Source organism: Homo sapiens, chromosome 7, assembly GCF_000001405.40.
Source record: "Homo sapiens chromosome 7, GRCh38.p14 Primary Assembly".
In the NCBI taxonomy this organism is placed as follows: Eukaryota; Metazoa; Chordata; class Mammalia; order Primates; family Hominidae; genus Homo; species Homo sapiens.
The window spans coordinates 28,432,369-28,459,837 of record NC_000007.14 but is presented as its reverse complement, the minus strand read 5'-3'; the positions used below and the strand labels follow the sequence as shown (position 1 = coordinate 28,459,837).

General features: G+C 41.4%; 1 protein-coding gene across 11 annotated transcripts in view, besides 1 other annotated feature; it reads right to left on the bottom strand.

Annotated features, from left to right (window-relative positions):
- CREB5 (cAMP responsive element binding protein 5) overlaps positions 1-27,469 on the bottom strand; it is a 526,574-nt gene that overhangs the window by 366,057 nt on the left and 133,048 nt on the right. For 2 of the 11 annotated variants that reach the window (XM_017012806.2, XM_047421068.1), the window contains exon 2: positions 21,054-21,109. The exons of 7 other annotated variants lie outside the window; for them this stretch is intronic. The gene's annotated coding sequence lies outside the window, so the exon portion shown is untranslated. Of the gene's footprint in view, positions 1-8,925; positions 12,970-21,053; positions 21,110-24,149; positions 24,224-27,469 lie in introns of those variants that run through there. 2 more of the 11 variants (NM_004904.4, XM_047421067.1) reach the window with 2 other exon arrangements.
- Positions 12,997-13,156: an enhancer, noted in NCBI's record as "active region_25796". NCBI's record gives its function as "activates an Ori minimal core promoter by ATAC-STARR-seq in GM12878 lymphoblastoid cells {active_cell/tissue: GM12878}" and the evidence as "EXISTENCE:reporter gene assay evidence [ECO:0000049][PMID:35858748]".

Genomic DNA, 27,469 nt, shown 5'->3' with positions numbered 1-27,469 from the left:
TGTTCAGCGCCAGAAACATACAAAACACTCAGTAAACATTAATTAATGAAAACAGGACCCCACAAGGGCAACATGACAGAGCCAGTCAAAGACGAGGCCAGCATAAACCCAAGTGGGAATCTCTGCACCCCCTTACGTCACCCTGCCTTCCCACCTTTACACAGCCTATTCACGTTTCCAGCAGACACATCAGCCAATCCATAAATGTGTATCCATGTCTGCCATCTGCCTCGGGCTGAAGCAAAAAGGAGGGAAGTAGAGGGAGAGGCTGGAGTGCAGAAGAGGGGATGTAACCCATGAGCTAACTCATAATGGCAAGATTCCAAACCTAAAATCACTCCATGGACCCTTTGAAGGGCCCTTTCCATGACCTAACCAAGAAACACCAGTACTACATGACTCTAATCTGACAACGAGCCTCACTTTTCTAGGAGGTCTTTGCAAAAGGAAAAGGGTTCCTTTGCCTGATCCTTATTTTCAGTGCTTTCCCACTCTTCCAACCCAGAAGAAAAGACAGCCAACCTGAAAACTCAAGTTCTGACTGATTAAACAGAAAAACTGGATCACTGGACAAAGGCTGAGACAGGTGGGGTGTGCAAAGATGGCTGAATGGAAGCTCTGAAGACAGACTCCCCCGCACACACACACAGGAGCGTGACCACCACAAACCACTCAGGTTGAATTTCTCTGGAAGGCTCAAATAAAGCCCACTTTCACTGGGGCGTTAGTGGATGGTCACTGGATGGGTGTGGGGAGCAGAATGGAGGCTCTGACGGCTACAGTTCGTCTTGGCAGGGAAAGCGACAGGGTGTGGATGTACTGTCATCAGATCTGCACAACATCGACCCAGCCCATTACATCAGCAAGAATCTCATCACTCAGGGAGCAATACAGGCCAGGCCCACCAGGGTTATCACACCCAAAGCATAGCATGCAAAGCCTTGGCTTCTCGCCTTCATGGCTCGTGCAGGACTCCCTATGGGAACTGCCATTTCCAAGGCCCACTGTGTCTCAGGCGCCACCTAGGTATTGCATTTATGTCAATCCATTTAATTCCCATGACACCTCTTCCAAGAATACTATCACATCCATATTTTACTGCTGACTAAATTGGGCTCAGAGAGGCAAAGTCATTGACCAAGATCACACAATCAGTGTGTGATGGAAGTGGGATTCAAACCCAGGTCTGTCTGAAACCACAGCTCAGGTGATTTTTTCAACAAACTACATGGCATCTACAGTAACTTTGGGATCCCTCTCTTGACACAGCCCTTTCCTGCCTGCCTATATTTGCGATTACATAACTTCAATGTTCAGTAATAGTAAAGGGCCTTTTGAAATTAAATAATAGTAAAAGGCCTTTTCTTAAATGTCCCTGTAAACTTAAATCCAACTTTACATAAGTTTGAATTGCTCTTTGACATGTTCAAAGCACACCCATGTCATGCACATTTGCAATCCATGAAGCTAGGCCCCAATTCTGCCTATCTTTTTTAGAAATTGTACCAAGCCACATTTGGAATCACAACCAAGTTATCAGATCCTAGTCAGTTTATATCTTCTCATCATCCCCCTCCCAATTCATTTATTCAACACATATTTGCTTAGTGAGTACTATATGGTCAGGCATCTTGCTAGGCACTGGAAGATATAAAATAAGTAAGACACAGTCTCAGGCCTTTCCCCAAAATCTAAAACGAAGTCTGTCACCAACTCTCAGTTTCTGTTCCAGGGTTCTGTCTTGGCCCCCCGTTTCTGAGCCTCTGTTCTAGTCACCTAAGTAGGAACACAGCTTCCTCTTATGGGGGATAGGGCCCTGTCATGCTCCACCAAGTCCCCTTTCCAGGCCTAGAGTCCTGTTCAATAACAAGAAATCTAAGGCGACAGCTCCTGTTCACCCTGAGGTCTTAGTATGCCTGCCTGTTTGTACACCCCACCTCCTCATGTTGGGCTCCCATTGCAAATCTCTCAACAGGACTGTGACCAGCTACCGCCATAGGCTCCAGGTTAAACCTTTTCTCAATAGGGCTGGCCCAAGATTCTGTCCTAAGTCAGGGACAAACCCAGTTCCAAGCCTGCCTACCCCCAATCCTACCTTAGCAACTGACGAGATCATATCCAACTGACTCCCAGGACAAGATGGAAATGGTCTCTTTGTTTCTCTGTCTGAAAGCCAGTCTCCTACAAACATAAACTTTTCTGCATGTATCTCTAATATACCCAAGCACATCAACATAAAATCCAATCCCTGGAATTGTCCACTGTCAGAAATTTAGAATTCATTTTATTTGCTTCTCATCTAGTACCTTCTCAAAAAAAATTTTTTTAAGTGTTAAAATTATTTTGGCGGAAAGATGAAGACTGTTTTCAGGTCAGCTACTCTCCAGATCCACCAATGAGCAGCAACTGCCTGCCCTATGCAGAACATGGGGGAGGAGCTCATCCCTCTGCTTATTTCAGTCACTTGTTTCTCAGCATGTATAAATTTAGGTCCTTATGATGAACAGGCCAGTCCAAAATCTAGCAATGGTAAAATTCATAATCGCGGGTGCTGTGGTTTGAATGTCCCCTCCAAAATTCATGTTGAAATTATATGCCATTGTGGCAGTATTAAGAGGTGGGACCTTTAAGAAGTGATTAGGTCATGAGGGCTTCATCCTCATGAATGAATTAATGGTATTATCACAAGAAGTGGGTTAGTGGTCGTGGGAGTGGGCTCCTAATAAGAGAATACATTCAGCCCCATTTTCTCTCTGTCTCGAGTGTTCTCACTCTCTCTCACTCTTCTTTGCCATGTGATGCCCTCTGCTATATTACTAAGTAGCAGGAATGACCCCAAAATGTAACAGCACCATGTTCTTGGGCTTCCTTGGCCTCCAGAACCATGAACCAACTAAATCTTTCTTTATAAATTACCCATCTGTAATATTCTAACAGCAGAAAATGGACTAAGACATAAGAGAAAGCTTCACTCAGCTTTACCCTTGTTCTGGCTGTTGCCAAACAAGAAGGGGGTGTGCCCAGGCACAATTCTGTAAAGAGAGAGCAAGAATAAAATAAGTGAGGTCTGTCTATATGCAAAATGGCAGACACAACACCCATATTTAAGGAAGACCTGCTTACCTGCCCCAGTGAAAGCAACATGATCTTTAAAGAGGATTTTTTATTTACCTAAGAATTTCACAAAGACTTTGGAACTACAACAACATCCAGGCTCCTTTCTGGAGAGAATTATTGCACTATCAAAAAGGTCTTTAGAAGCAGCCTCTTGGCTGGAGGAGTAGTACCCCCATTAGCAGGCAATCCTTCACAATGAAGCCCCCCACCCCAGCCAAAGACCATTGTCACATGGCTTTCAATGCCTAGTCCGTAACCATGAGTGAGAGCATCCGAAACAGCACAAGAGAGATTTGTTTTCCAAGAGCAAAGGAAATAAACTAGGGGACAAGTCTCCAAAGACTGAACCTTCATGACCAGCAAATGCCTGCTGGAAATTTATATGCTGTGAGTGTAAAAGCAGTGAAATTCGATAATCTCAAAGCCACAGATTTGTAACTTGCACTTATGTAAATATTTATGGATTCTTTGGGGGAAAAATCAATCCTCTCAGCCTTTCTCTTTAGTACATGCTTCAGAGGGAACATTTTTTTCCTCTTAAGAGGAGGATGTAAACTCTAGCTATGGCTTAGGAAAATTAAGTCAGCAGCCTGCCTAAGCATGATCTAAAGTCCATTTATAATTTCACTGTAAAAGATTATAACACATTATCTTCCCCAGTACCAGTGAGAGCACAGAGAAAATGCGATGGTCCCCTCTGTGGCCTGGCCTCATGGGGACTGAGGTTAAAAGTTGATCAGGTCAGTAACACTTCTCAGACAATAAGAAAAAAGAAAGGGAAGTTATCTGTCCATTGTCCATCCTTACCAAGGAGTGAAATGCATGCAGATCTCTACCCACATCCACCAGTGTCGGGCACAAGCACAAATAGGCCTCTCACCCAACCCTCTTGGCCAGAGCCATGGACAGTAGACTGTTATCAATCTCCTTCCTGCTTTCTCCCCTCTCTCATTCCTCCTTTACACTGTCCCCTGGGGGATCTTCCTAAAATACTGGCTTTGCAGTGTTTCACCCACCCCCCACTACTTTAACCCCGCATTCCTCCATGAAGCATCAAAGCCCCAAAGCGCAGTATTCACTCCTGAGCCGGAAGGTCCAGGTGCTCCACTCTGCAGCTTTGATTTGTATCCTCTGCCAGGCTCATACCTATCTGTGATTCTGAATCTCTTGCCACTACCTGAGAGTCTACCACATACTTAGAGGATTTAATTTACAAACAGCATTTTTGTTCGAATAGCTAGTCGCTATTTTCTTCAAATAGCTAGTCAGCAGTGCCCTTTCTGCCTTCTATGTTTAGCAAAATCTTGTTCTACTTAAAGGCTTGGTTCAAATGCTACCATGAGGAAATTTCTGAGCCTCCCACCTTCACCCTTGTTCCACTCCCAAATCATCATGAACTGCTCTGTTTGTCTGATTCCTCCAACAGGTAGGAAGCTATCCCAGTCTGTCCATCCATCTCCACAGCTCCTGCAGTTCGGCTCGGGGCTTCCACACTGTAAGCATTTCCAAATGTGTCTGGGAATTGACATGTGCCCACTGATAAGTGAATGATTTTTAATGCCTCAAGATTAAACGTGTAACTGATGACTTGAAGTAGGTTTCACATGTGGCTTTGCCCCCTTCTACTTCTTTTGTCAAAAGCTGTTTTAAAAAACTCTGTTCATTATTTGATAAACAGAACAGAAGTCAGTAGAGGTACCGTGTTCATGCACGTCAGGGAGGTGCTCAGATCCACTCCGCACAATTACAGGGGAAGCTCCATTTGAGGACAAATGAGGTGGTGTGCTGAGGCCACTGTAAAATCACAACTTCAGCATCCATGTGGAAGCGGGTACCAGTATACTCTGCTCTCCACTGCCCACCAGCCCTGGGTCACATTCCGTTAGAGTAGGTCGGATCTTCCAAGTGATGAAGTTACTGTTCACAGTGGCATACCAACTCAACTCAGTCCTTTTGAAAAAAAATTTTATATGCTTAATAGCACCCATAGAAATAATATTCACTCCAGTTGGATCTGGGGCCCTGGGACAAACACTGGCCTTAGCTCCAATATCTGCGTTCACTGACAACCAAGCATCATGGAAATAAGGTGAGGGTGGAGCGAGGGCAGACCTATCACGACATAAGCTGGTCATTAGACTCAGGGGAAGGTGAGGTATCCACAGGTGCTAGGAGGTGGCACCAGGAAGCAATCTGGCGAACATGGATGAGGAGGAAAACTAGAAAAGAGAAGTCCTGGGGGAATGCCCTGAGGAATGCCATAGGACGGCAGACAGCAGAAGGTCAGATGCTGCCTCACTATCCTCACAGGTGCCTCTGGAGCCACACTCAGGCCAATCTGGTGCCCCAGGAAGAACAGCTGGGCCATTTTACCTACAACTGTGGCAGCTTTGGAAGAGGAGGGCATGTTGGACAGGAATGACTTCCAACAGAAGTTATGAGGAAACTTACACAGGAATAAGAATTGGAGCCGCGCGTGGTGGCTCATGCCTGTAAACCCAGCACTTTGGGAGGCCGAGGCAGGCAGACCACGAGGTCAGGAGATCGAGACCATCCTGGCTAACACGATGAAGCCCCGTCTCTTCTAAAAATACAAAAAATTAGCCAGGTGTGGTGGCGAGTGCCTGTAGTCCCAGCTACTCAGGAGGCTGAGGCAGGAGAATGGCATGAATCCAGGAGGCGGAGCTTACAGTGAGCCGAGATCATGCCACTGCACTCCAGCCTGGGCGACAGAGCGAGACTCCATCTCAAAAAAAAAAAAAGAATTGGAGAGGAGTCTCTTTCAGTTAGGAATTTGTTTGGACCAGAGCCTCTTCCAGCAAAAAGGTTTACAAAACCTGTCTCACACACCAACAAAGTAAAGAGGGCAGCATTTTCATTTACAAAGATTTTATTTTGTTTCATCGCAATGCCCTTGGGGGCAGCTTGCACCTCCAGCAATTTCATCGGTGATGTTAAATACCAGATATATCTAGAACAGCAGCACATAGTAGGGCAGGCCCTGCTTCAAGGGCCTTGGGGAAATTGTTGGGGTGTTTCATTTTGTTTCTTACCATGATTGGAGGGGTGTTATGGGCCTTTAGTGGGCAAGGATCAGGGATGCCAAGTGTTTTGTCATAAGCAAGACACGCCTGCTAGGCACGTGCCTTGCACTCACCTGCTTAACTCTCAAGTGCCATTCATGTAGAGGAAACATACATTTAAAATCATATGAGAAGATAAGTCAATTTTATATGTATAAACTAAATGTCTCTGTGTGGGTTTTGTTGTTGTTGTTGTTTTGAGACAGGGTCTCGCTCTGTCACCCAGGCTGGAGTGCAGTGGCACAATCATGGCTCACAGCAGCCTCTACTTCCCAGGCCCAAGCAATCCTCCTACCCCAGCCTCCAGAGTAGCCAGGACTACAGGCGTGTGCCACCATGCCCAGCTAATTTTGTTGATTTTTTGTAGAGATGGGGTCTTATTATGTTGCCCAGACTTGTCTCAAACTCCTGGACTCAAGCAATCCTCCCACCTTGGCCTCCGAAAGTGCTGGGATTATAGGTATAAGCCACCACGCCCGGCCAATAAATGTATTTTTGCATGATTTTAAGATATACAGAAATTTTCAGAACTGCAACCTGGAAATTAAGAGATCATATTTGGTTTAATTTAGAACCTTCCAGAGAGTTACTCGCCATTTGGGAAAATCAGTGTTGCCAACACAAGGCACCCATGTCGGGCTGCACATTCACAGCTGTGAATTTCTGTTCATGGGAGATCTTCCCTTCCTTCAGTCTTCCAGTGTGGCAGCCTGGCATTTGCATACTGAAACACTGTACTGCTTTCCCCATTGGTCCCACCCCTCCTTGATCCATTCTCTGTCTTTCTCTGTCCTGCTCTCTCTGCCAGAGACTAAGCTCTGTGGACTGAGTCCCCCAGGCCTTTTCCCTCTGGTTTCCAGCTTTCTCCCAGTAAGAGGCAGTGGCAAGAGACCAGAGGGTGAGAAGAGAGAGAGGCTGGAGTATCCTTTCCCTGCCCCACACCTTGCTGCTTCCCTCTTTAGGCCCCAGCTCTCATGGGGCTCTAGGAACACCATTCCCTCCCCTGCTCCTGCAGGTCTAGGGATGGTAACAACTTCAAGCTGTTCCTAGTGCCTGGATCCTTCCTCATCCTCAGCTGGATCCCCTAATCCTACCCTCACCTTCATTCAAGTCTTTATAGTTAAACGCTTTTTACCATGCTGTTTCCTGTCAGGAACCCGACTGATACAAATACACATTATTTTATTAAAATTACATTTATTTTATTTCTTTGTTATATTACATTTAGGGCATTTTTATAATCATGTGTCTAGGGTGGGTTTTTTAGTCTATAAAATTCATTGCAAATTGTAATGATTTACTATAAAATATTTGTCAGAAAGAAGAATGATTTGACTCTGATAGGGTTTGTTTTTTTAATCTATAAAACTCATTGGAAAACTTATAATGGTTTATTATAAAATATTTGTCATAAAGGTAGACCATTTGAGTCAGATAGGGCTGGTGACAATGAAGGCATGATATGGAGAAACAAAACTTTGACTAACTACAAAGTGCTGAGATTCTGCAGTGACGCTGACATCCATGATAGAAAGAAATCGCCAGTCTAAGATGGGCTGGTGCAGCACTGAAATAGACCAATAGATGATGAAGGAAAAGCAGAGTCCAGGCAGGGACCTTTCTCCCTCGGTAAAGGGAGCTGGCAGCTAAAGTTAGTACCATGCAGAGTGACACCTTCCCGCAACTTCCATTGTTGTCAATATGTATATGTTCAATGTGAATATACTTTAAAATGCAGTATCTGCTTGGGAAACCATATGGAGCTTATTCAAGAATGTGAGCTCAGGGATCACTTTTAAAGTAAGGCAAGTGAATTGCATATAAAGCCAACCCACCTTTACATTTAAGTTCCCAGGACCCAGGATGGAGAGATCAATTTAGCAACACTCTCTAGACAATGGTACCCACATAGGGATGCTCCTGTAGGACCGCCATACTTCTGTGCACATGCAACCTTTTGTTCCCTTGTCCCACCTCCACAGCATATGTATTTGCACATGCACACACATACACATACATGTACTATGTACCATGAAACCTCTAGGCAGATTCAAAACACGCTATTTGTAAGCTACAACCTCACAAACCAGCTTCACTCAAGAATAATTTTCCAGGAAAAAAAAAGTACATATAGATATAGACAAACACACACACACACACACACACACACACACACACACACACACAGTTTGGCAAAGGGACAGAATGGCACCCCAGAAAAGTGGCTAGAATCCAGATTCATTGTAAAATACCTGAATAACCTGGGCCTTACTTGTTTATGCCCAAACCACAGAAAGACTTGCAGAAAGCCTAACATAGCTGGGATAACTTTAGATCTGAGGAATCTTAGATGCCAGCCACTAGTATAGAATAGTTACTTTCCAGTCAAGTTATTGCAATGAATGCACAAATTAAGGGGGAGTTCTTCCAGGAGGAGAATTACCAAGCAGAGACCCTCCCTCTGAATCATAATTTTACTTCTACTTCCCTTTGCGCACCTCACACCCACTCCATAGACACACAGCACAGACCCCTTTAAAGTTTTCCAGATCACAGCCAGTGCTGGCATACTTGTTACATCATTTACATCTGTTACAGCAACTGAAAAATCAGTAATATGTTTTGCCCAAATTACCTTGACTTGAGGCACAAAGAGCCAGGTTCCCCTCTATAGACCTAGAGTTCCTTCTAGACCTGCAAATGGTCTAGAATGGTGGATACTCACCACATTTCAGGGCTTCCTCTGCCTCCAGGTTATAATGCCATAAAGATATGCATCTACTTCATCACCAACCACTCCAAACACCCGATCACATCAGAAAGAAAATTACTATTTCAAAAAGACATGAATTGCAGAGAATATATGTTATAATCCGTTGTATAAATTTTGCCAAGACTTAAGACAAATCTGGAAAGCCAGTGCTTATCTCCTGCCACCCTGTGTTTCTCTTCTCCCATCTAGAACCCACAAACAGACAGAGAGCAGGGGGTGAAAACTTGTGACAGGTGGAGGATCCAGCCAAGTGGATTCAGCTCCTGTGGCAATCCATTATCTGGGGAAAATTATGGTTTAACATCAACCACTTGAGTTGTTGCAATGACTCTTTTCTAAATCTATGTTGGGCATTTCCTAATTGCATATTTTCTTCAGCATGAGAAATTGCAAGCTTGGTAAATTATCTATTTCAATATTTTGCATCATATGCGAGTCAAGCATCCAAATGGCAGTTTAGAACAGCAGGTATCACGCTTTAGAACTGGGATAATTTTTGAGATCTTCCAGGCTTTTCCTTCACCAGCTGTTTCTAGTGTCATATTATGTAAAGCCTTCAGATGTCCATGATTCAAAACTCAGCTAGGCATATTATAAGTACCCTCGGGCTTTTTATTATTTTGGTTCAACACAAAGCATCAGAATCATTATTATCAGTCACAACAGGATTCATCAATCAAACAGCAGCTATTATGCTGACATTCTCCTTTGTGAAGAAAAGACCAAAAATAAATAAAGACAAAGAAAATTTAAACTCATTAGCAATATCCATCGATTTTGCAAAATAACAGCTTCTCTTGTTATTGTAGGGAACGTGTGATTTCATTCCGGTGGTCCAAAGGAGGTCCAAAGATTCGATCTCACCATTGACTGAGCTCCTCTCACAGACTAGACCCTTAAATTCTGACAGCTCCTAAGTCTAAGAAAACTCAGTGGTACTTGACTATTTCACTGTGAAGTAAAGGATGGGAGGGAGATAGGAGAAAGAGGAAAGGTTGACAGAAACCTTTTTAGGAGAGACAGACAGAGTTATCAACCTTGGTCAAACAATTTTAAGCAACCAATGAAGTTTTTTAAAAAGTTAACCAATTCGACATTGACGTTAGGAATATTCTTCTTTGAGAGGCCCTTGAGTTACGACCTCAGGTCCCCCAGAGAAGGATCCTAACACATGATTTGGTCAAGCAACAAACACGAATTGCATAGTCATAATTATGAATGCAATTTACTCATTTTTCACTGTTAGAGTTAACCAAAAGCACAGAAGATATCATTGAGGTTGCAGGACAAAATACAGAGGAAAATCACTTAACAATGTGGAAGTAACTATGCAGATGCCAAAGGTGGAAATGTAGAAGAGAGGAGGGCAAGAAAAGGATCCTAAGAGAGCTTAGAACTCCATCTTACGCAAAACGATGGAAAGTTGATGGGCCACAAAGGGAAGGTTTAAGTGTACAGCCAATAGCGAAAGCAATAATGGAATAAAGTAATGAGAGAAGGCAGAGGTAGAGGAGGCACAGGACAACTGAGCTGAATCTGCATCTTTCAAGGCAGAGACTTAAGAGATGTTACAACAGCTAACAAATAAAGAAACAAAGACAGAAGCATGTTATTGAGTTTAGCAGTAACTTCCAAAAACAAAAACAAAACCAAACAAAAAACAATTTAGAGAAGATTGCCTTTAGTGAGTGGTCAGGGGAAATGATAATATTTAACTTAAGTTCTTTGGCATATGATATACTTTGCTTCCATGCACACATATTACATGGAAGAGGAGAAGAAGAAGAAACTTGAACAAAATAAAGAGGAGGCAAATGCCATTTTAAAAAAGGTAAGAGGAGTAGGTAATGCTTATGAATTGATTAAGAAGCCAGAGTTTCATTTCTACCTCATCAAGTCTAGGTGTGTGAGCAGAGAATAGAAAGAACCTCAAAGCAGAAGTCACAACGGCCTGCATCCCAGCCGTGGTGCTGCTCCCAGCAGTGTGAACAAAAGCAAGTCATTTAACCCCTCTGGGCTCGGCTTCTATGTTTGTAAAATGAAAAGGTTAGACTAAATCATCTCTAACACTGCCTGGCCCCAGGGCCCATGTTCCTGGATTTACACTGAAAACCTGAAAACCCAGCTAGCTCGTCAATTCCTCCTCCTGTGACTCCATCTACCCCTGCAGAGACTAAAATATTCAGGCCTTACATGTTCTGGAAGGCAAGGCTGGTGACCAGCCAAGCTACCTGAAGAATTTAGAAGGTTAAAGATTCACCTCAATATCTGAAAAGTCCTTCAGAGAACATATGAAGAGAGTAGTTAAATCCAACAGCCAAGCCCACCAGCTCCATGTCACTAACACTAAAGGTTCCTGGGCCCAGAAGAAAAACAAGGAGCCCAGAGAACCAAGAGCCTGCATTGGTGTCTTGCCAGGGCCAAACTGAGCTCTCCAACACCACATTGAGCAGGTCTAGAAAATATTGGAAGCAATAAAAAATAAAACCATACATACACTGTGTTAGTCAGGGTTCTCTAGAGGGACAGAACTAATAGGATAGATATAAAGGGAACTTTATTAAGTATTAACTTAGATGATCACAAAGTCCCACAATAGGCTGTCTGCAAGCTGCTGAGCAAGGAGAGCCAGTCTGAGTCCCAAAAGTGAAGAACTTGGAGTCTGATGTTCGAGGGCAGAAAGCATCCAGCACGGGAGAAAGAGGTAGGCTGGGAGGCTAGGCCAGTCTCTCCTTTTCACGTTTTTCTGCCTGCTTTATATTCGCTGGCAGCTGATTAGATTGTGCCCACCAGATTAAGGGTGGATCTGCCTTCCCCAGCCCACTGACTCAAATGTTAATCTCTTTTGGCAACACCCTCACAGACACACCCAGGATCAATACTTTGTATCCTTCAATCCAATCAAGTTGACACTCAGTATTAACTATCACATACACTCTCCCAAAAAGTCCTCTCACTAAAGTGGTTTCTTGCTACTTTTTGTGTTTTCTTTAGTGGATTTCGATCTTAATAAATATCTCTCTAAGTAAAAAAGAAAAAGCCAATGGGAAGAAGGGAAAGCCTGAGGTATACCTGAGACGGGCTGGGAATGTGGGGCAGTTGTGTCATCAGAAGCCACATTTTGGAAATGCCACGTAAAATAAAGGACCCCTGAGTCATCATGTTCTTTATCTTGCTCTCCTAGCTGTATTACCACCTCACCACTTCCCACAATACACACATACACACACACCATCACTCTCCTCCCCTAGCAGGTGCATGTGTAGGGTCCATGTTCAGGCAGCAAGCTCCATGAACATTCTCGGGTACTGCTTTCTCTCCAGCTCAGCATGGCTAAAGATCATGGAGGTTGGGCTTAGCTGAGGCAAATGACTACATGAACACACTAATACCCTAAGACACTGAATGAGTTGGTCCAAATTCCGTCACCCACTCCCCCGTCGGTGTGCAGCTACCAAATGAAGAAACTTGTTTGAAGGGAACTTTCAGAGTTAAACTCTAGAAAACCTCATCTTCATTTCTTGGGATCAGTCCCAGTGGAACATACCACCATGATCTGTCACATGTGAACTGCAAGACTATTTAAAGAAAGCTTATGAAAAAGAACTACCATTTGTTGAGCATTTACTGTTTACCGTATTTCAAAAAACAGATGTGCGCCAGGCACTGATCTCATAAATACAGTCAGAACAATTGCTAACATTCATGGTGTGCCCTGCAAGCCCTGTGCTATGTGTGTTATCTTATTTAGGTCTCACAAGAATTCTAGAGGGGAGGTGGTGTCCTGATCTCCACTTTCCAGGTGAGAAGTTAGTAACTTGCCCAGGGACACAGAGCTAGCAAGGTGCAGAGTCCAGCTCCAAGCTCAGCCAGTCAGATTCTACTACCTGTCACAGATGGGAATAGGAAATGGTCTTGCCTTTGAGGTGCTCTTGGCTTAGTAGAGGAGGTACTTCAATACACACAATCTAGCATATGGTAGGCTCTCAATAAATGACTTTAACACCGACACCACCTGTATAAAGTGGGTAAGACAATTATTCTTTTACTTTTGTTTTGTTTTGTTTTGTTTTGAGACAGAGTCTCACTCTGTTGCCCAGGCTGGAGTGCAGTGGCGTGATCTCGGCTCACTGCAATCTCCACCTCCCGGGTTCACGCCAGTCTCCTGCCTCAGCCTCCCAAGTAGCTGGGCCTACAGGCACCCACCACCACGCCCAGCTAATTTTTTGTATTTTCAGTGGAGATGGGATTTCACCGTGTTAGCTAGGATGGCCTTGATCTCCTGACTTCGTGATCTGCCCACCTCAGCCTCTCAAAGTGCTGGGATTACAGGTGTGAGCCACCACGCCCGGACCTACAATTATTATTTTATAAAGAATTGGATTCAGAGATGTCACCCAGCTATTAAAAGGCAGAGCCAGGACAGAAACCACCAAATGTCTAGTTCTTTTGTGCTCTCTGCTCTCAAAGAAAAGGGCGATGAAGACTTCACACCCTAGAACACAAGGAACATTTGGTTTGTATTTTCACTGGTGTCATATTGTGGGAGCTGCCAGAAGCCACATCATCCCACCAAGTTAGCTCCAAATGCTCCAGTTTGTGTATAGCTTCCTGGAGCTGGGGAGGCAGGAGATGAGTGTGGGGGAGGGGAGGGGCGGCTGGGGGGACCCAAAACAAACAGACCAACCAAAAACAACAAGGAAACAGTGGGCAGACTGTCGAAGGGAATAAAGTGGGAGGGGACGATGGTCTGCCTGAAGATTCCCTTGGAGTCACGTGTATTTTCTGGTGTCTGGTATAGTTGACTTCAGGAAAGGTGCTCCAGCTGGTCCAAGGGCTTCCTTCAGGGAATAGGGACAGAATCAGAAAATTAAGAAAGTAACATTCACATTCTTTGTTGGGTTTGTTTGGTTTTGTTTGTTGAGGTTGTTTTGCTTCTACCATGAACAGGCCTTGGATACCCTCAGCAAAGCTGCAATCATTCCCTCACCCTCTCAAGTATGTTAGAAGAATAGGCCGGGCGCAGTGGCTCACGCCTGTAATCCCAGCACTTTGGGAGGCTGAGGCAGGCGGATCATGAGGTCAGAAGATCGAGATCATCCTGGCTAACACAGTGAAACCCCATCTCAACTAAAAATACAAAAAATTAGCCAGGCGTGGTGGCGGGCGCCTGTAGTCCCAGCTACTCGGGAGGCTGAGGCAGGAGAATGGCGTGAACCTGGGAGGCGGAGCTTGCAGTGAGCCGAGATCGCGCCACTGCACTCCAGCCTGGGCAACAGAGCGAGATTCCGTCTCAAATAAAAAAAAAAAAAGAAAAAGAAGAATATTGGCTCCCGGGACCCACTTTCACTCTTCAGTAAAACCCTGCTCCAAGGTCCAAGGATTCTTAGTTTCTTCCTCCACTTGACTTTGCTGTTAAAGTGCAAAAACAAAGTAATTTCCTCTTTCTGCAGCCTACTGTAGAACCTGATAGGCAGAGCCTATCTGAAGAGAAAATCCTTTTGTAAGATAGATGGCTGTTGGAACATCTAAAAATAACTGCTTTCAAGGAGGCTGGCTCCATCAAAGAAAGTCTGAGTATAAATGTATTAGTCGGTTCTCACACTGCTAATAAAGACATACCTGAGACTGAGTAATTTATAAAGAAAAACAGGTTTAATTGACTCGCAGTTCCACGTGGCTGGGGAGGCTTTACAATCATGGCAGAAAGTGAAGGAGGAGCAAAGGAACGTCTTACAAGAGAGTATGTGCAGGGGAACTGCCCTTTTGTAAAACCATCAGTTCTCGTGAGACTTATTCACTATCACAAGAACAGCATGGGAAACGCCCAACCTCATGATTCAATTACCCCCTACCAGCTCCCTCCCACCACATATGGGGATTATGGGAGCTACAACTCAAGATGAGATTTGGGTGGGGACACAGCCAAACAATATCAGTAAACTTACTTTCTGGATTACCATTTAAGATTAGGAAGAAACTCATGACATTTATGACCCCACAAGAGTCATCACATCCCCACTCTGCTATGGTTTCAGGGTGATAGAGTTTCCTCTAGAATTCTTTCTTTCAAATTCTTCACTAATTGGATTTTCTCTGGCATCAGGGGGAATTGAAATGAGCCCAGAAAACAGAGCCAATAGCTTCAGGTGCCGACAGGGGCAGACCAGCAGGAGAGAAATTCTCACTGTGCTATACTAATCCATGAACACAGTGGCAGGGCTAAATAAGCACCAAGTCAGGCTTCTTTTCTTCCTATTTTTTAAAACACAGCTTCTCCTCTGGTGGAGAGGCCAGTGGAAGAGTCTTTCCCCTGCTGTGACTTGGTTGAAAGGAACAATGATTGACCAGCTAATTTTCACTTTGTTTCCCCACGACAGTTCAAAGGTAGGTATTCCAGCCACCAACCTCTTCATCACTCCATGTCCATCTTTATTATTTTCTCAGGAACCTGGCAAACTAGCTTCCTGAGTTGGGCCATGTTGAGAAAGGAGATAATTTGCAGCCTGAGATTCCTTCCTGTGGGCCGCAGGAGACCTCTTTGTTGGGAAAAGATGCGTCCAATCTTCTGTTGCCAAGACCTTATGTTTCTCCCCCAGATTCCAAATTCATAGTCATTTAATATTTTATGCCAGATCAATTCAGGCACATGGCAAGGGGACTCCCACAAACTAGCATGAACACTATCAAAATCTTTATAAAGCATTTAATGGTTTGCACTTTTATACAAGCATAAAACGGTGCTGATTAATTGATGGAGGGGCAACAGGGAAAAGGAACCTTCTGAGTTTTGTAAAGACACCAAATTAATTCCATCTTACAAAACTAAGTTTTCCATTACAAAATTTTTTATGTTTAATCTAACTTTCAAATCACCTAGCACCACTGTCTTCTATGTGCTACTAAATTCCACCTCAAAACACCATTCTGACTTGTATCAGGATCTACCAATACCGCTTCCACATCTCAGGTAAATGACCTATGGCATTTGGGTATCTGGGGCTGGGTCAAGCTGCAGAGGAAGAATTTGATGGCAGGAGAAACATGTGTCCCAAAGAGTCATCATCATCGTAAGTGAATTATCATTTTATATAATTAGCCATAAGGTGGGGAGGCAAGATGAGACAGTGGCTGAGGAGGAGAGGGGTTAAGTGGGTAAGGGGACAAGTTAGTGGCCTAGAGCCTGTGTTGACTCCCCCTCCTCCAATTTTTAGCTAAGGAACCTTAACACATACAGGTATTCAATACATATTTCTGGAATGAATGAATGATTCCACCTCTCTAAATCCAGTTTTCCTGCCTGTAAAATAGAGCGACTAAGTGTTGGGAGACAGTCCTCTATGGACTATGTATGTCCTAGCAGCAGAGGTACAGATGGCCTTGGTTCTGGAATTTTTTCAAATATGTTTGCACAGCAGAGTTAGAAGACAGACTTAGTGTGTCCCTCTGGAGCAGATGGCAGGTTTGCTTACTGTCCAGTGTAATAAAGATATCTCCCTTGGGAGCAAAGGTCAGGCAAGGCTGCTTCCCCCAACATTAAAAGAGAATGAGATTTCTAAGCCCAGAGTTCTTCAGCCATAATGTAAACTCCCTGCATGTTCAGCAGCCACCTGGGTCACTCCACATCACTCTCATAGGAGCTAGGAACAAGAGGAAGTGATATGAACATGAGGCTGATGCTGCTTGCTGGCCATGAGTAATAAAGAACTTTGTGTCTGACCCAGGAGTCTCATAGCTACTGCCAGCATCCATGAAACTAGTAGACTAATTAGGTTGCAAGTAGGGGGAAATCTCAGCTCTTCACAGTTCTTGACTTTACCTTATAGAGTTGTTCTGAAGATTAAACGAAATAAGGCATATAGAGAGCTCTGCAGTGTCTGGTCCAAAGTAGGTGTTCAATTAAAATTAGCTTCTATTACTGTCCTACGTAAGGAATGATCTTTGAATGTCTGTATATTTGAATGACATATTTTACATATGCATTTACCCTAATTATTCAAAAAGAGAATGTAATAGAAAATGTGACTAAGTGATCTTAACAATATTAAGAGACTCAATGATGAGTGATACTGACTCAAGATAAACTCTGATATTGAGTCACAACATTACAGTGATTAATGTGACTTTAACCATTTACTATACAACTTAGTGGTTAAAACTCATAAAGGAAAATGCAAATCAAAACCACAACGAGATATCATCTCACCCCAGTTAGAATGGCTATTATCGAAAAGACAAAAAGTTAACACATGCTGACAGTGTGGATGCGGGAAAAGGGAACTCTTATACACTATTGATGGGAATGTGAATTAGTACAGCCATTATAGAAAACAGTATGAAAGTTTCTCAAAAAACAAACAAAAAAAACTACCATATAATCCATCAATTCCACTGCTGGAGGATTTTGAGAAACATATCAAAAGGAAAGGAAATCAGTATACCAAAGGGACACCTGCACCCCCATGTTTGCTGCAGCACTATTCACGATAGCTAAGATATAGAATCAACCTATATGTCCATCAACAGATGAACGGATGAAGAAAATGTGGCATATATACACACTGGAATACTATTCAGTCATAAAAAAGAATGAAATCCTGTCATTCACAGAACATGGATAAGCCCGGGGGACATTATGCTAAACAAAATAAGTCAGGCACAGGAAGATAAATACTGTATGTTCTCACTCATATGTGGGAGCTAAGGAAAAAAATTTTGTTTAATCTCATGGAAGTAGAGAGTAGAATTGTGAGTATTAGAGGCTGGGAAGGGGATGAGGAGAGGACAGTGGGAGAGGTGGGTTAACAAAGAGTTAGGAGGAATAAGTTCTGGTGTTCCACGGCACTATAGGGTGAATATGGTTAACTGTAATTTATTGTACATTTTCAAAAAGCTAGAAGAGGGCATTCGAATACTTACAACACAGAGAAATGATAAATGTTTGTGGTGATCAAGTTACCCTGATTTTATCATTATGTTGTATACATGTGATACAAAATATCACTCTGTATCCTGTATGTATAATTATTTTAAAATTTAAAAAAGTTTTTAAAAACCATAAAGAGCTTGACTTATATTCCAGCTTTTCTACCCATAAACTATAAGACTTTGAGCAAATGACACAGAGGTTTTATCTTCCAAAATGTGGAGATTAAAAGTAGCTCCAGTTCACCTGGTGCTATGAGGATTAAACATGATGGTAACTTACAAAAAGTCAAACATAGTACCTGCCACATACCAAATATTCACTAAAGGCTGAGTATTTATTATTTTTTTCAAAGAACAATAACATCAAGAAAAGAGATGTGATGCTTTTGGTATCTTTGGACTTTTATATTAGCTTCTTTAATCCTCTCAATCATTCTGGGAGGTAGGCAAAATAAATATTAGCCCGACTTTACTGATGGGAAGCTGAAGTGAAGGGAGGTTAAGTGGCTTTTCCAAGATCAAAGATGTAGCAAATGGCAGACATTTTATATTTTAGAGTTTCTTTCCATGTGGAGAGCCACCAGAGATTATCAAGTGGTAAAGATCTCTCTGTGCTTTTGAGTAACAGGCTCACACATTACCAGGAGCTGGAGAATGCATTTGGCCCAGCTCGACAGCCTCATGGGCTTGGAGCTTTCAACCAAATGCAAACTTTTAGAGTGTGTGCATTTAGGTTTTGCCAAGAGTAGATGGCTTTCTATTTTTAAAAGGGAGGGGGAAAGCACACTGGAAGGTATTTAAATCAAGCTCCGAAGTCTTCTTGGACATCAAATAACTCTTAGAAAACAACATTTTGATGAGTTAAGTATAAATGAATCAAAACCATATGAATTAAATTTCCCTTGAAATACACAAGGGTCTAAAAATTAAGGGGAAAAATGCATTGATAAAATACATTTGGGATTTTATTGAAACCAAAACATTTACAAAAGTCATTATATATCCCAATGCACCCAACCTCAGCGTGCCCTCTTCTGATGGCCGTGGCCAATCTCCTTGGACCTCCCCAATAACAGTCTGCCAAATATTTCCTTTCTTGCCAAAAAGAAAAGAAAAGAAATCCACTGAACTCCACGCCACCTGATGACAAGGTTCAAACCCTGTCTTGTGTGCAGTTGATAAAACACTTCCAGCCCAAATGGTGTGAACTCCAATCTTCCTGTATCTGGAAGAATCAGCCTTGATCAGATGGCTCTGTGTGCCCCATCATATGAAGGCCTAATAACCAATTTCTGCCTCAGTGGTTTTATAAGTGGCTATTAAATTAAGCTTCCAATTTGCAGTCCTAAAGCTAGTAAACCACCAGGTTACTTTTCAGGCTTGTTAAATTAGTTAAAGATAAACGGAAAAGCCAGGGCAGGACTGGCCTGGGAGAATAAGGCTGCAATATATCATGCAACTGGCGGTACCACTGCAGTGGCTTCCAGCAAGCTGGCAATAAGCATGTGATATTAACTGAAGCCCTTAATTTAAGGAAATGGGATCAACCAACTAGTAATTAACAAATTATTCTCAAACAGGCCTCGCTTAAAAATTAAGTTGAACTACCATTTTTCTATAACTCGTCAGGAAAACGCTGACTGGTACTTAAAGTAAACACAACTTAAGCAGATGGTGAGTCCTCACAGAGCACCAAACCTATACTTAAATAAATCAATGTTGTCGGACTGGAGTGCGACATGGATACTCAGCAGAATTCATGGGCATCTTTGCAAGATTTGGCAATAATTTACTGTCACGTGGAGAGGACAACTGAGAGTTCTAAGTTTTCCTGTTGGAATGTTTTGCACCCCTGAGACAGGTAAAGTCTATTGGAAGAAAGTGTTTTTCAACTGATATCCCAGAAGCATGTCACAGAAGGAAAGATGAGCCTGTTCCAGCTAAGCACAGACAAGTGTTTCTGCCTTTACTCCTTCACTCATTCATTCACTCATTCAAGACATAGCTACAAAGTGTTTAACCAGTGATAGGCTTTTTACTAGGCTCTGGGCATACAAGGCTGAATGGTACGCAAAATTACAGGTCACACAGGCACAGAGAAAAATAATAATGCAACTTGATAAATTCTATTGCAAGGATGCCTTAGAAAGCACTTTGAGAATCCTAAGAACTGAAGTGCTAACTCCAATTTGAGGCATCTGGGAATAGCTTCCTTCACCTTTGAAAGTGCCATCTTAGGAGATAGGCAGTGTGGCACAGAGATTAAGAATACAGGTCCTGAGTGATAGACTGCACAGGTTCAAATCCTAGCTTCCTCATTTATTGGCTCTGTGACCTTGGGAAGTCTACCAAACATCTCTGGGCCAGGTTCCTCCTCTGCAAACTGGGGCTGATAATGGCAACCACCTCATTGTAAGGATTAAATGAATGCCTAGTACATAATAAGTGCTATTGTCTTAACTGGCTATTATAGGGATTTATCCAACAAAGATTGAGCAGAGAGAATATTCCAGTTAGCAGAATGGCATGTGCAAAGGCAGAGATTTAAGAAAGGTCTGGTAGTTTGCAAGGATGATGGAAAATTCAGTCTAGCAGGTTCACAAAGTATACATGGAGAGGAATCAGGTGCAGATGATAGTTATATAATGCAAACCTTGTACATCAAGCCAAGGAGGTTAAATTTTACCCTATGGGCAGTGAAGAACCAACAGAGGGTTGATATAGTCAGGTCTGGTTTTTCATTCTGCCTGCAGTATAGAGCTTACGATACAGAGGATGGTGTAAGGTCTATTCAGGATGTAGACATAAAGCATCACATGAAGGGTCTGTTGTTTTGGTTTGGTTCGGTTTGGGGTTGGGGTTTTTCTTAAATCACAAGTAGATCTGTCTGTGGTCAAGGACAACAGAGTGGACATCACTAATTTTGGTTGTTCACCAAGGAAAATCATGGGACATAGTGAAGTGCAGCTATTCCCAGTCTTTACCCTGCTCTCCAAGTTTTAGAAGTATCTCTGTTTGCTCCTTTCCCACAAAAATGTTGGACCTGTATTTCAAAACTTGCTGTTGGAAGCAACATTTGTAACTGGTCGATTTTATTAGTTGTAATGCTGTGTTCACAAATCACAGAATGTTAGAAGCAGATGGGAACTTACGGCAATTGCTAAATCCAGTTGCTCCCCACTTGGGGGTCTCTGGATTCCTAGGAAGTCTGTGAATGTAATAACAGAGATCAGTTCAATTTTCAGTATTTCCAAAAGGTTAACGTGTATGTAAACATTTAGTTATTCACACACAAGAAAGCTTCACATGTCAAGTAAAATGGCAACTTTCTTTACTGTTGGCTGCAATTATTTTGATTCAGTATGGTAACATCAGACATCTCATGTTTATCACAATTTCTGATTGACAATTATGAATGCCATTAATTTAAAAAGAAAAATGAATTAATCAATACTTATCAGGTAGAAAAAAAATCTTTCAAATATAAAAGTAAGGAAAAACCGAGAGGCCCTATATGGTCAAGTTGGGGATCAGTGATCTCTAGCCCATCCTCAGTGGCCCCGACACCCCCCTTTGACAGCAACTCAGTCCACACTCTCATTCCCATCTCATACCCTGCCCGTTTTTGGAGTATGCAACATATTCTTCAGTGTGAATATCTATTGTAAGTAAAAATACAAATCAGTATGTTAAGGTCATCTACATGTTAAAGGAAACCCTAAACTCTAGCTCTAGAGAAATGAATGAGTTAAGCAATATCTACTCTTGGGTGAAAGTCTGTTACATAACAATCAATGTGACCCTAGGTAGTAAGGTCTTTGGGCAGGATTCTTGTGCTTTGTCTCTCACATGCTCTGCCCAGTAAACACTTAAGACACTACATAAATGATGCATCACGATGCATCCCGACCACAAATGGCTCCTGAAGAAAAGCCTGGTTGGATAACTGGAAAATGTCATGTAGGGATAAATGACTGGTGTTTGTAAATTCACCCTGAGCCCGAAAGTCATCAGATTTTCATCTCGCAAATGTCTCCATCGTCTTTTCTGTTCCAGAACAGATTTAGAACTATAATTCCAAATACATCATACAAAGAATAGTGAAAATGTTAATCCTTCAAGTGACTGCATTTAAGAAGTAGGATAATATGGCATTGTTTATAGTTAACTGGATCATATCTTTAAATAGAGTTGGTAACAATGTGATTACTAATAATAGCTGTAGTTCTAATTCCATTTATTTAGATTATAGGACTATCCATTTATTTAGATTATAGTACTAACTACACCTTAAGTTTCCTGTTGTTAGGTAAAATTAGCTGTGCTTTTATTGTACTTCTTGAAATTAATGTCACTAAACTTAGGTTTTTATAGGCACTCACTAAAATATTTGGTAACAGATTGAACCAACAAGCATCTAATACTGGTAGAAGATGATAGAAGGAAGATCTATGGAACTAAGATTCAGTGGGATTTGGGCCATACAGATAGCTTCATCTGAAGAAAATGAAATGGTGATCTCTCTTGGCAAGTTTCTAGAGTGATTCGGAGTACCAAGAAAGGAGGCTCCCATGACAGAGAGTGAATCCTGGCTCTGCAACTTAATAACTGCATGATCTTGAGTAAAATCCTCAGCTTCTCTAAACCTCAGTTTCCTCAGCAGAACAGAGATAATAACACCTACTAAATAAGACAATGTAAGATTTGACTTAGTACCTGGCCTACAATAGGCATTAACTTAATTGGCTTATCTATTTTCTCAACATGCACAAACAGTAGTGTGAAGTCCTTAGCCATGGCCCTTAACAGGTGCTCATCTCTGTCACTGCCGGTTGGGAGTGGGACCTTATGAGTGTGAGCTGAGTTCTCTAAGGGATGCAGTCAAAGTGGAGACAAAATCATGACTGAATTGCACCAAACCAAAGACATTCAGCTGCTTCTTCTCCTTTGAAACCTGGGGAAAGTAGAGCCAGGGGCTTTTCATCATTTGCCTCTAATACAACCTTTCAGTTACCTCAAGAGCATAGTACACAATTCCATCTGTAGAATTTTATGTAGCAGAGTAAATGCAACCTGTTCCCCCCACATCCCATTATCCCACTTTCTTAAATCTCACAATCAAATGGTGTGAAATGTGGGGCTGGTCCCCTTTATCAGAGGCAATGATTAGTTCAAGCAAAACTTAAGAGAATCTCAGTCTTTACTCTCATTTCAAACCTAATGCTAAAATTCAACATTTGATTATTTTCTAGAAAAAAAAATGCCTTGGAAATTGTACTTGTTTAGGAAAAAATGACAATTGCATCTAATTACAGGTAAATAATTTGCCATCATAAGTGTCAGAATCTTTGCACTTGGTATAGTTAAGGTAGTATAATTCAAGCCTGAAAAGGAATTTAGTGGTTTTAAACTTTTCTACCCCTCCAAAAATCCATCCTCTTCAGATCTTCTTGCCACCCAACCAAAGGAATAATACACAGATAAGTAGTAAGAGGGCCCCGTTCTGTGCCCACTTAATAGGGCAAACATGGTCGGGGGAGGGAACAACACTGCTGTTTTCGGGCAAACACACACAGGCTAAACACAAACCAACAGATTGTAGCTGTGACTGAGTTCTCAGATATGTTTAAGAAACATTGGAAAACATAAGTGGAAAGGCCATATGCACAAATGTACACAACACAGGCTACTAAGACCTCTGCAGCTTGAGCCACAAGGGCAAGAGGCATTGATTTTTACTGGAGAGGGCATATCAGGTTGCAGGAATGCACACATTTAATTTTTATGAGACTGATGGCTCACAGAAACAAAAAAAAATTCACTTTGTGACACATTAATGAAGCCAGTGAAAGGCCACTTTAAAATAAAACAAAAGAAAAAGGCTTGATGGTGTTTTCAAAAGGTCTTTGAAAATAAACCATCATGCCACAAGCCACTCTGACATGTTCTGTGACACTTTCAGTCTGCTGGACAGAGAAATGTTACACCCAGGTCGCTTCCTCAAATCCTCTTATATAAATATATGTATATGGTATTACTCACCCCTTTCTGGTTTCTGTAAAGAATATTTTTTCATTTTCTAGGTAAATCCAAGAGTCACCAATCTTCCAGCTCTCAGCCAAGAAGAACAAGTGAGCAATGGCAGAAATGTGGTTTCATACCAGAGCATCTTCTTCCAGCCAAATGTAATTTACATCTGAGTGTTTGGTTCATCTGTCACACGAGTATTATACAACCCCACCACTTACCCTGAAAATAAATATGAGCTCCTCATTCAGGTAAATGAGATCGTTTCAGAAATAAATTGACTCCACCACTAAAACTTGCCTTTTGCAAAGAAAATAAATGTTTGAAATGTTTCTCCTGATGAAGATGATGCAGCTGACACTTAAATTTAAGAGGCTGGTTATATGGCCCTCATTCATATTAAGGCCGGCCCAGCAGAAGCTAGAGGCCACTAGAGCTGGAAACGTCTGATCATAACTTTGCTAAATCAACTCTCAGCTCTTATCAGTATGCAAAATCTCCCAGACCAAAAAAAAAAAAAAAAAAAAATGGAAGGGAAAAGGTCAAAATGCACATCCCCACTGACAATCACACATCTGGATATAAAACAACCTTGCCAAATGACACTGAATTTTCACAAGCCCACACAAGGCTTTTAACGATCCACCCCCCTCCTAGGGAGTTCCCTTCATTTGAGCTTCAGAACAGCCTTGTAAATTACAGAAGGTATCATTTCGTTGTTTATAGATTGGGAAACTGAGGTGGCATGCAGTTACTTAAGTGTCCAAAACTCACAGCTAGTTATAGGTTGAGTGAGGGAGGAAAAAAAAAAAAAAAAAGCCAGGTGGCCTAGGTGATAATTCCAGTGTTCATTGAATCCCTCTGCTTTTAGAGGAATTACAACACATAGTCCCTACTCTTAAGGTGCGTATGATCTAATTAGAAAAATAAGACATTCACGTGCTAAATTAAATAACATTAAACAACACCATTCAAGAAAAATCATCAATGCCAAATACACATTGTTTTAACTATTGTCAACTCAGTCACATTAATTCTATGAATCTGTGGAATTGATGAAAAGATTCTTAATAAATTAACACCCAGTTCCAAACTTAGAATTGCACAATAAAAGCCAGGGCCATGGTTCAGCACAGGTCGTTTGTAAATTATTTGTATTCATATGACTTTCCTGCTGAATATCTAGGTAAACTGTAATAGTCTTAGATATAATTATTTACCAGTAAACTAACCACCTCAGACTATATGACTCACATTGAAGGAAAAAGTAGTTAATGTGGTTTAAAAATCAACAGCCTCAAATATTTAGCTATTTAATTATTGAGTTACAATAATCTATGGAGATACAACATTTTGTCTTGTTTTTTTCTGTATTGTCTCTTCTTGGAGCTCCAAAATTTCTAAATAGTTTTAAAATACTGTTGTTTCTATATTGTAAGAAATTCACCTAGCATGGGGTAAAATAATCATTATAAAGAAGCTGCTAAGATAATAGGCAGAAAAAAAGTTTACAAATAACTGGATCTGGGTGTTGAATTTTGGCATTCGATTAAAATTCTATAAAAGGAATGAAATTAATAATCGAATCATTATGATAATTAGTAATTACATTTTCAGAGAATTTTCCAAGAATAATTAATTAGTGCATACCTTTGAGGTATTATTATCTCCATTGTAAAATGAGGTGGTGGAGATGGAGCTGAGATGAGGAGTTGCCTCTGGCCACAGGCAGAAGCAGCAAGTGGAATGTCAGATACCTGGAATTCCTGAGCCCCCAAGCCCTTGTTAACTAATTCTGCTCACTCTGAGCCGGAATCAGGAAGGTCATTAGTTAAATGGCATAAACCAGAAGCCGTCCTTTCCTCTCCTGAACTCTTCCTCTCAACTGATGCTACTGACCCTCTAGAGGTCTCATAGGAGATTCTCTTCAGACTGTGGTTTCCTTGGCAGGCTGCCATCTAAAAGTGGAGTTGAGTAAAGTGAGATAAGTAGAAGTCTGGATCTTTTAAAAATTTTATTACAGTAGACGAAAGAGGAAAACAGAAAAAATATGAGGAAGATTATAACTGAAGCTACAGCAAGCAGAAGTGGCATGATTCTAAACGTAAACTGTGTTCACATATTCACAGACTCATAAATCAACCACAAGTAATGAAGAACCAAAAGAAATTTTTAAACCCTTTTTACACTGAAAATATATGGCTATACTTGTGCTTCTAGATTTTAAAGATAAAGGGTGCATTTCCTTTCCAGAATAAAAAGATGTAAATTTTGGGCGGGTGTGGCGGCACATGCCTGTAATCCCAGCTACTCAAGAGGCTGACGTGGGAGGATCCCTTGAGCCCAGGAGTTTAAATCTAGACTGAGCAACATAGACAGACCCTATCTTAAAAAGCATTTTTAAATTGTAAATTTTGATAGGCAAAATATTAATACTCTGAGAGAAAAATGGCCAAAAAGCAGAAACAAAGATGAACAATTCATAAATTGCCAGCAAATAAATGGAAATAATGTTCAATACCCCTTTTAATCAAATAAAAGCAAATTAAAACAATTTTTGACCTAATCAACTGGCAACTATTTCTTTTTGACTACAATACCCAATACTCTTGGCTGAAAATCAGGTGTGATAGGCACTATTGCATAGCCTGGATATTCGTGGGGCAATCAGTACAAGCTGTTGTGAAAGCAGTTTAGCAAAATGTATCAACACCTACTCGTTGGAATAATTCCTTTGGAAAAATAAGAGATGCAGATAAAGGGTTATGTGCAAGATGGCTTATCACAATATTATTTATTACCAGGAAAAAAATCAAAATAGATGATGCAACCAATATTAAGCAAAATGGCTTAAGTACATTATAACAAACAGAAAATTCTAAGGCTATTAAAATCACATTTTCAAAAAAATAAATCATGACCTTGGGGAAATGTTCACAAAATAATGATAAGTAGAAAAAATTCAAACACAAAACTGTAAATACTCTATGAAATATAGCTAGATGATATGGATGAAGACATAGATTATATGAAGGATATGTATCAAAATCACCATATGTGATCATCTTTGGTTAGAATTTTCTTCTTCTTTTTTATTTTCTACAATGAGTATTTTTGAATCAGAAAACAGTAAATTTATCTTTAAATTTTAAAAAGAAGAAAGTTGAGGGAATCCCTGAACTTGAGATATAGCTATCATTTTTTCACGATTTTTGTTCAAGCCATCTAAAATTCCTTTATTCCTTTCTGACTCGGACAGGAACACACTAGAAAGATTTTAGGATTAGAATTGGTTGAATTCCAGCGTTAAGACTTAAGAACTTTTCCTTTCCCAGTTACTCTTTCAGGAAAAATAGATGGAGAGTGTTCTTCTCACAAGGTCAGCTTCAAGGGAAATTTGGAGGAAAGAGAAGTTACCAAGACCACTAATTTTAAATGGTGCACTCTCATTTGAAAATCCCAGATGACCACTGTGTGCCTGCCGGCTTGCAAAAGAGCCACAAAACTGCGTACGAGCGACAGCCATAGATGACACAACCGA